This window comes from Homo sapiens, chromosome Y (assembly GCF_000001405.40).
Source record: "Homo sapiens chromosome Y, GRCh38.p14 Primary Assembly".
Taxonomy (NCBI): domain Eukaryota; kingdom Metazoa; phylum Chordata; class Mammalia; order Primates; family Hominidae; genus Homo; species Homo sapiens.
The window spans coordinates 25454976-25464997 of NC_000024.10; the positions used below are offsets into that span (position 1 = coordinate 25454976).

Sequence of the window (10022 nt, forward strand, 5' to 3'; positions counted from 1 at the left end):
CCTGCTGTAAACACCCAGGACACCCAGGAAATGGTTGTTGTTTGATTTTCCTCATCCCCAGTCTCAAGGGGAAGCCAGTTAATGAGAAGAGACACTTGCCATCAGGCTGTCCCTTTAGGAGTCACTGAAAGGGCCCCAGGGTGGGATGGTGGGGAGATAAGAACCATGAGAGAAGTTGGCACAAAGGAGTTATGGGACAAAGGGTCCAAGATAGGCAGAAAAGAAGCTTTTGCCAGTTGATGGGGAAGAAAGGAAATCAGAGGGCTTAGACAGTGAGGGGGGACAGAACATCTCCATGTGCACTCTCATCTCTTGCAGTCAGCAACAGGTATCTACGGGGAAGGCCATGCATCATCTGCTACCCTGGAGGATCTGGAGGTAAGAGGCCCTGGGCTGAGGTGCAGTGACCCTGCAGGCCAGCCCTCCAACCTCCTCCCACAGCAGGGGCTTGTTGCCCCTCTGCCAGCTGAGACAACCCACACCCTCCACCAGCCCTAATGATTGTTCTCTCTACCCCTCCCCACAATCTTCCTCCAACTCCTCCTCTCTGCATGCACCTCACAGCCAGTACCGAGAACTAGCAGTGGCCCTGCACTCAAGCTCCGCAATAATCAGTCAACTCAGTGAAAACATCAATTCACTGGTAAGAGTCCAGTGGGGTCCCCTGATTCCAGCTGGTCAATCCTGGACTCCAGTTTTCCCTTGGTGCCCTGAAGAAAGGGGCCAGGAGCCCCTGATGCCAAGGGCAAATGGGGAGCTGGGGCACCCAGGCCTCACCTGGAGGGACCCCAGAGCACAGAACATGCAGCATGGCTCTTCTGCACTGCCCTCTTTGCTGACTCTCTCTTCTCCAGACACCCTTGCTCTAGTTGTTGCCACACATGCCCTGGGGTTGTCATCTCTCAGGGAAGCACTAGCCTGACTGGTTGTCAGAGGCCCGTATTTCTGCCCTGCCTCAGCCCCTAATTTGCTTTTTGAGTCTGGACAAGCCATCTCTCCTCCTTAGGCTCATGTTTCTGGAGGAGGTAGAGAGTATCAAAGGTCACTGTTAGCTCTGAGATTTAAAGGCCCCTAGAATGGAAACCTCAGGGCCAAGGGCTCCTGTCTGTCCTTTGCTGTCTTATATCTCTGCTATGAAGAATTGTACGTGCTCAGTAAATGTTTGTTGAATGAATGCACCTTTCTCAATCACAAGGTGGCAGAAGGGGGGTGGGACTTTCTCAAACTCTGTCTCTAGAGGTTCAGCAGCCCCTCTCCAGGGCCCTTTCCCCTCTGTGCTTTGGGCAGGTCCACGCATTGAAAGAGGGGAAGCAGCATGAGATACATTGGGTACAGAAGCTTGGGAGGAACTTGTTCAAACTCAAAAACCAGATGGTTAAGATGGGACTGGCATGACCTAGGAGCAGGACTGGCATCAGAGGGCTGTGAGGGTGACTTAGAATGCCCCAGGGAGGAGGGTGGATGGAAGGGCTTTGAGGCAGAGGGAAAGAGGTCTGTGCCAGGAGATGGCAAGTCTTGTCATCTCCATGAACCTCAGTGTCCCTATCAGTAAAGAGGGAGGAGTGCCCATTGTCAGCCACCCACAGTGCTCTCTATCTGAAAGTGACTTTGAAGATTGGCTACCATCCGGGTGTGAGGAGTCATTAGCAGTGAGGCCAAGTTTGGGAAGCCTGAGAGGAGGAGCTGTCCAACAAAGGGAGGTTTTTTTTTTTTTTTTTTTTTTGAGAGTCCAGAGGCCCTTATTGTCTGCTTCCTTTCTCAGCTGAACCCCTGGCCCCAGAGCCCCCAGCAGGGCCCTCTGAGGTGGAGCAGCTACAAGATGAGACCAACCACCTAAGGAAGGAGCTGGAGAGTGTGGGAAGACAGCTCCAGGCTGAGGTGGAAAACAATCAGATGTTGAGTCTCCTGAACAGGAGACAGGAGGAGAGGCTGCAGGAACAGGAGAGGCTGCTGGACAAGGGGTAGGAGCTGCTGGAACAGGAGAGGCTTCAGGAGCAGGATGAGAGGCTGTGGCAGCAGGAGACTCTGTGGGAGCTGGAGAGGATGCTGGAGCTGGAGTGGGAAGCCCTCTACAAGCAGCAGGCCGAGCCCCACAGCAGCTTTGAGGAGCTGGTGTGTTGCCCCACCTGGGGAGGCTGCCCTCTTCCCTAGCCCTCAAGGTGGGGAGGCTGCCCTCTTCCCTAGCCCTCAAGGCCTTTGTTTCCCCACCTGTAAAATGGGGCATTGTGGCCTTCATATGAAATGGTACTTCTAAAGGCACCTGTGAGCCAGAGCCCTGCTCTGATGGCTGTGGGAGAGGGTATGATTTTTCTAACCTGCCTCCACCCTTCCTGGTGCCATGGGAGGCAGACACCAAGTTCTGGGGTCTCCAGTTTTAGTGGGTGGCCACTGATTGCTTCTCTCTGTCCAGAATAATGAGAACAAGAGTGCACTGCAGTTGGAGCGGCAAGTAAAGGAGCTGAAGCTTGGTGAGCTGAAAGAGACGGTAACCTCTGACCCATCTAATAATGGTTGGGAGGCAGTCACCAGCCTCTGGGAAGGGGAGGTGCCAGGACAGAGGCAGCTGCAGCCTGAGGACAGGTGACCCCAGCACCCTCCAGGGTAGTCCTATGACTGTTTCTTGCTTCCTGCCCTCTGACGTTTAGAGGTGGGTAGCCCTGGGCTCCTCCCAGGTCTGGACATCATCATCCCAGCTAGAGGCATGGAGCCCCCCAATCACAGAGGAAGAGACAGTGGTATAAGAGGCTCCTTGGTGAGGTGTGGTGGCTCACACCTGTAATCCCAGCACTTTGGGAGGCTGAGGTGGGACAATTACTTGAGGTCAGGAATTTGAGATCAGCATGGCCAACATGGCAAAACCTCATCTCTACTAAAATTAAAAAAATAATAATAATAATTAGTGGACCTGGTGGTGCATGCCTGTAATCCCAGCTACTCAGGAGACTGAGACACGAGAATCACTTGAGCCCGGGAGGTGAAGATTGCAGTGAGCTGAGATTTCAGCACTGCATTCTAGCCTGAGACACAGAGTGACACTGTCTCAAAACAAAACAAAACAGAAAAACCAGACTCCTTAGATTGAAAGTGGATTGCGGCCTCGGTTCCACTGGTCATAATTCAACTACTTTGCATCTCTAAGTCTCTGTTTAACTTCAAAAGGAAGTTAGCCTTTTCCTTGTGGAGGTGCTGAGGATTAAATGAGATGATACGTGGAAACATTAGGTATGTGGCACACTTAGCAGATGGTGGTTGGCTCCCCCTGCTTTTCCACCAGTCTGTCGCCTACAGTTTAAATGCTGGGAAAAAAGACATGAGATTTGAGGCTGTGGAAGGAGGCATGGGGTTCTAGGCAAAGGAGGCAGTCTCGTAGGCCTGGAGCAAGGGGCCAGGGGACTGAGCAGGCCACAGAGCCCCACAGTGTCCTTGCTACCCTATTAATGGGCCAGGAATCTGGAAGCCAGCCACCACATGCCCTCATGCCCAGCGTCTTCCTGCACGTGGAGCTGAAGAGCCAAGAGGCTCAGAGTCCACAGCAGCAGCAAGACCAGTACCTGTGTCACCTGCAGCAGTTCGTGGTCGCTTAGTAGCAGGTGGCTGCTTATCAGCAGCTGGCCTCTGAGAAGGAGGTGCTGCACAGGCAGTTACTGCTGCAGACCTGGCTCATGGACCAGCTGCAGCAGGAGGAAGCTCAGGGCAAAGCGGTGGCTAAGATGGCCCACCAAAAGTTGCAGGAGACCCAGGGGAGGGAGTTGTTGAGGACAGGGCTCCAAGAGGGACAACCTGGCAACCTCTGTACCTTCTCACCCTCTTTCCTGGCCCCTTAGGAGAACCTGGAAGCTACCAGCCAGCAGAAACAGCAGCTAAAGCCCAGTTGAGCCTCATGGCTCTCCCTGGGGAAGGTATGGGAGACCACTCAGAGGAAGAGGAGAGAGCCCCAGGAGGAAAGGGGGACTGTTAGCAGCGTAGGATTGAGGAGTTGGAAGAGACCTTTAAGACAGCTGGTCATTATGCCAACTGGGTGTCCGTACTAAGTTCGGTATCAGTATGGTGACCTCCTGGGAGCGGGGCCATCGGGTTGCCTAAGGATGGGAGAACTGGCCCAGGTCAGAAAGGGAGCAGGTCAGAATTCCTGCACCAGTCGGTAGTGGGACTGTGCCTGGGCAATATAGCAAGATTTTGGTTCTTAAAAATAAAGAACAGCGCATTCCCCTCTGGGGAGGGGCTGGCTCAAGGTTACACAGTGAGTGTAGGGGCAGAGGTGGGCCCACTGTACCTCCCTTGTTGGGTTGTCTGAGGACCCCTCTGGCCACCTCCCACAGGATATGGAGGAGGACATCTGGACAATGAGGAGGAGGCACCTCGGCCCATGCTGAACATTCCAGGGGACCTGGAGAGCCGGGAGGCCATGGTGAGCCTGACTTTCCCTGCCCCTACTTTGCCACCTTCCTCTGTAGTCCCTCTGAAACCCCCTTATGTTCTTGGTTTCCCTGCCTTCTGACTTCTGTGGACTTTCTCTCCTTCCGGGAGCCAGTGGTCAGACACCATTTCACCTGTGACCAACAGGTGCACTCTGTGAGGCCCAAAAGGAAGGGGCTGTGCTCCATCTCCCTGCCCTGGTTGTTATGTGTATACCCCTACAAGAGTACTCACCTCTTGCCTTCAGGTGGCATTTTTCAACTCCGCTGGAGCCAGTGCCCAGGAGGAGCAAAGCGTGTGCTGCCAGCCCCTGGCTCACCCAGTGGCCTCATCCCAGAAAAAGCCAGAGGCAGCGGCCCCAGCCCCAGAGACTGGGGGTGAATCTGTGTGTGGGGACACCCACTGGGCCCTGCAGGAGGCCATGGAGAAGCTGCAGGTGAGTAGTCCTGGCATGGGCCAACAAGGGTGGGGTCGGGACAAGGCAGGTGACTCCTGACATGTGACCCCATTATTTTGGCTCCACAGCAACTTTATGGAAGGAGAAGATGGACCTGAAGGAGCTGGTGGAGAAACTAGAGCTTCAGTTCATCCACCTCTCAGGACAGACAGACACCATGAGTAAACGAGAGGCCAGGGCATGGCAGGGGGAGCTGCAGGGCCATCTGAGGGGCCCCAGCATCTGAGCCGTGTCCTCCTGCAGGAAAGTACATCAGCCAGGGGGCAGTGCCAAAGACGCAGCACTGGGAGAGGAGGACATCGTCAGGCTGGCCCAGGACCAGGAGGAGATGAAGGTAGGGTGTGCAACATCTCTGTGGGGGTGGGAGTGAATGTCGGTGCTGGCACCGGCATGACAGCTAACACCCCTTCCTCCAGGTGAACCTGCTGGAGCTGCAGGGGCAGGTGTTGCAGCTTGTGGGCGACCACAATGAGCAGCATGGCAAATTCTGACCATTGCCCAGAACACTGCTGATAAGCCCACTCTAGGAGCCCCAATCGCCCAGGAGCTTGGGTGTGCTGACAAGCAGGGTGGTGAGTAGAGCCCTCAGGCGGGGTGGGCAGGCAGGAACAGGGGAGGCTCGCACTGTGCTCAGATTCCCACTCCCCTCCCTCTCTCTGAAGATCTTTGTGAGGTGAGCCTCACTGATAGCGTGGAGGCTGCACCAGGAGAGGACAGGGAGGGTGCTGTCACAGCACCCAGGCAGTCCACCCACAGTTCAGACCAATGCTCAACCCCCTCAGGGTTCCGTCTTCTCTGGTCACCATCTTCCAACCCACTGGCCCAGGGCCACCTCTTGCTTGGGGAGCCCCACCCAACAGCCACCAAGCCTGACAGAAGGAACACTGCTTGAACCAAAATGGTGAAGCTATAAGGGATGGCTGGCTGGAGTGAGTACCAGAGGCCCCTCTGGGCCGTCTGAAAGCCCAGGGTCTTCTGAGGGACCCAGGGGAAGGCAGGAAGGGCAGGTAGCTTGATGCCATTGGCCATAGACTTCTAAGTCTAACAGGGGAGCCTCAACTGGTTGGTGGAGGGCTGCAGGTTGCATAGGTGAGGCTGGGCCCTTCCTGCTGGGAAAAGCAGAAGAGGAAGACTCCATGGCAGGAAAGGGAAGTGAGCTCTCTAGGCGGAGCTCAGCTGGGCCAGCATGCACTGTGGTCCCCTTGGCTGAATAGCACAGGCGAACCCTAGAAGCAACAGGCCAAGGTGCATGAGCCTGCTGGCCAGCAGTAGTGCTTCAGCAGGGGCCAGGGTCCCTGCCTTCAGTCGCATGCTAGCAGCTATCATGGTACCTGGTAGGGAGGGAAGGGGGCTGTGTGTCCTTCCATGGCCTATGAAGTGTGTTGTGGGATGACCATGTGTATAGGACTCTCAGGCTTTTATCCTAGATCACCACTGAATTGCTGACAAATAGAGGATGTGGGACCCTGACTACCACCCCTAATCTGCAGTGGATTTGGCTCTCAGCACTCCCAGGCTGGGAGCTGGATCCCTGCCCTGGCAGCATGACTCAGACCACACGACAGGTACGGCATGCCCAGTATGATGTTCCCAGGTCTCTGGCCGCCTGAGTCCAGCCCCTCACACAACCCCCTCGAAGCTCCCAGCCCCTACACCATAAACCATGAGCTCTGTGCCCTCTCTGATGGTTCCATGTCTGCCAGGTTGGGCATGGAGCCCCCAGGCTCAGCCATGGAGACCTTGAGCAGTGGCACTGAGTCCCATGGCTCACAAGGAGGGAAGTGAGACAGCCAGCAGCACAAGGACAGAAAAAGGAAAGAGCAAGTCTGCAGCTCCAGAGGGAAGGGGCAGGCCTGGGGGTGGGGGACACACACGCACACGCCGGAGTGTGCACACACATGCTGTGAGGCCCCACGGCCCGCATGCACACGCTAACACACATGCCCACAAACAACACGCATACGTCGCCCTCCCCACCACCTCCCGGTGCCCAGCACCCTCACCGGCCGGCACGTGCTGCATGGATCTGGGGTGTGCAGCCACTCGGCACACTGAAGTACATGCGTGGGCAGAGTCACAACACAGATGCTCACCCGCACACAGAGGCATGTGCACCAGCTCCCTGCACACTCGTGCCTGGCGTGCTCAGAGGACCACCCATGCTGCTCAGGGAGACAGGGCTTGCTCACTAATGTCCGGCTGTCATTTCTCCACCTAAGAGCCTTCCATGGCTCCCTACTGCCTACAGCATTGAATCCCAACAAGTCATACTCTTTGGACTTTGAAGGTTCTCCACCCGGTGCCCCACCCTCCCCACAGAGCTCTTCCTCATTCTGTCTCTGTTCCCTGCTTTGGCCAGTGGCTATCCTCAATGTGACCCACACTACACTTCTGCCCACACTGCAGCTCTTTACCCAGTTACCCTCCAGTTCCTCACAACGTATGCCTATCTCAGTCATGCCCCGGACTGCATTGAAGCCAGGCTGCCTTGAAGAAACTCTCCCAGACTGCCCTTTTCCCCAAGGCAGGGTCATGATTTGCCAAAGGTTTCGTGTGTGTTAGCAAGACTGGAGTCGGAGCAGGCATCAAACTTTGCATCCCATATGTCACACCTCACCATAGACCTGGGTGCCAAATAGCCTGAAGAGTCTGAACTCATGTTGGCAGTTAGCAAAGTGCTCCTACGGCCACATCTGCAGTTAACATAGTATCCCTATGGCCACTGTCTCCCTTGATCCCCACAGCCATCCTAGGAGAAAGGCAGAACGTCATTTGCTAGAAGGGATGCTGAGGCTCTGGGAGGGAAAGGGACTTGCCTAAAGCCCCAGGGTGAAGCAGCATCTCTGGACTCTCATAGACAGCCTAGAGCTGCTAGCATTCCCTTAGGATCTGTGCCCTTGGGCCTGGATTAATTTTTTCCTCTGCAAAGAGCCATCTGTAGGGCTAGAGGCTGGCAAAGCCTGACTTATTACTGGATGCCAGTTCCTTTGCCTGACTTTCAGCGATTTCTACCTTACGCTCGGGTTTTATGTTGCTTGTCTCAACACTATCACTTCTCATTCCTCCACAAGTTGAATTGCTCACTCCAGCCACTTGAAGCATGCTGTTCTTAACACAGTTAGCTCTAGGCACATGGTTGGTGCTAAAAAGGAAAAAAAAAGAAGATCGTTATGTCAATTTCATTGATTAACAAAAGCGATGGCTCCACTGCAAAGCAAAGTTGATACTCCTGGGTTCAAGAGCCTTTTAGACAAATGGATCTGAGCTAAAACATGATCATGCACTCATATGCATCTGTCTCGGTCTGATGAGATAATCTGGATACTTGGTTGTTATCCTTCAGCATTTTCCTGCCTCATTAATGCATGTGTAGCCAGCACAATAATCATCATAGCTAATAATGGCTACAGCTGAGGGCTTTCCTGAACCAGGCAGTGGTTTTAAAAACTTTAACCCCTAAAGCTGAGGACTTTCCTAAGCTAGATAGTGGCTTTGAAAACTTTAAAGTTTTCACATAGACTGTCATTGAATAATTTCTGTTTTTCAGATCAAGAAACTGAGACTTACTATCACATTTGGGATTAAGCTAAACAAAAAAAAAAGAAAAGAAAAGAAACAGAGGCTGAACGCTGTTAAGTATTTCACAGCCAGCAGGAAATCAGAACTTGAACCCAGGCAGTCTAGCCCTGGGATCCTTTGCCCTTACCCATTATCCAGTGTTGGCTACACAAAACTAATGGGTACATATTTTCAACTATAGTGTAAGTGGGTGACATATTTTTCACTATATTTTATGTAGGTGACTTTCAGTTTGGGGGTATTCTACTTACACAATCTATTGAGCTGGATATTAACTGAGAGCAAACAGAAACTAATGAACTCTGAAAAACATAAAACATGAGCAACATGACATCACTGCAAGAGACAAAACAGCACATAGCCTTCTTGTGACTGTATTTTGCTGACAGTCCATGAGCAGATAGCCTGAACTCAGCAGTGCTGTTCCCTTGGGAAACACACACACACACACACACACACACACACACACACACACACGAGTTGGTGGTTTTCTGCCTCCACCCCCACCCCAACACACACACGGGTTGGTGGTTGTGCTGCCCGGAGCCTCCAGTCCGCGAGTGTGAAGAACGGACCAGATGGGTCCAACAGTGCTGGGTCAAGGCGAGGAGGGGGCAGCCGGAAGCGGGCGCATGCTCTGGACTCCTGCAGCCGCCGAAACGGGTGCGCAGGGGGCGCGCGGTTTGAGGGGTGAGGGGTGACGGGTGTGAGGGGCGAGAGGGACGGGAGCAGGCTGGGGGCAGCCCTTTCCCAGGCGGTAGCGGGGGCTGTGGTGCTGTTGCCCTTTTAAGCTGCGGCTTGACAGGAGCAGCGCCTCCTGTCGGTGGAGTCTGTTAGAAGGGGAGCAGCCGCCCAGGCCTCCACACAGCTCCCCGCAGAGGCCTTGGTGCCCCTTGCCATTTTCCAGCCCTACTGTGACTAGAGTTGAGGCAGCAGGGAGAGGCGGAGCTGGGAGAGCACCGCCGAGAGGTCCCGCGGGTGGTTGCGGCCGTCACAGCGGCTCCCGACGGGCTCACCTTCGCGCCCCACCTGCCAGAGGTGAGAATAAAATGTCCGTGTGAGGGTTCAAGGCCAAGCTGAAGTTGTTGGACTCTATCTTCCACAAGAACCAGGAGCCGCTGCCGCAGCTCATGCTCCACTGCAACATCACGTTGAGGCGCCCAGTGGCGGCCTCACGGGGCAGGGCGAGGGCGGAGAGGAGGCGCCCAGAGTCCCGGGACAAAGGGGAGCCTGCCCGGGAGAGGCCCCGGTTCCCCAGGCGGGGCGAGCGCGCCCCTTTCTCCCGCGACTGGCCCGCCCCGCTGCGTGAGGCTTGCGTGGGAGGAGGGGGAGGGCGCGTCTCTCTGGCTCCTTGCCACGGGGCTGGCTTGGGGGCTGCTGGCACCTCTCGCCCCAGTCGCTGCGCCCTGAGGTGGGAGCCCGCGTCGCCCGCAGCCCTTTTGGGGCCCATGATCGCCCTCAGTCAGCTAGCCTGCTCCCCTGGACCGCGACGGGGCGTGGCAGGGTGGCTCCCGCTGTTGTTTGAGCCCAGTGAGGGAAGGGGAAAGGCCTTTAAGATTTTCGTTTTTTT

The 10022-nt window shown here is 55.1% G+C and overlaps 3 pseudogenes across 1 annotated transcript; all 3 read left to right on the top strand.

Annotated features, from left to right (window-relative positions):
- Window positions 1-335: 335 nt before the first annotated feature.
- GOLGA2P3Y (GOLGA2 pseudogene 3 Y-linked) lies at window positions 336-5200 on the top strand (annotated as a pseudogene). The gene is made up of 9 exons (NR_002195.2): window positions 336-378; window positions 565-643; window positions 1763-2114; window positions 2411-2468; window positions 3825-3899; window positions 4320-4408; window positions 4664-4852; window positions 4942-5034; window positions 5117-5200. The product of NR_002195.2 is annotated as a GOLGA2 pseudogene 3 Y-linked (transcript).
- Window positions 3951-4209, top strand: RN7SL725P (RNA, 7SL, cytoplasmic 725, pseudogene; annotated as a pseudogene).
- Window positions 9094-9699, top strand: CHRFAM7AP1 (CHRFAM7A pseudogene 1; annotated as a pseudogene).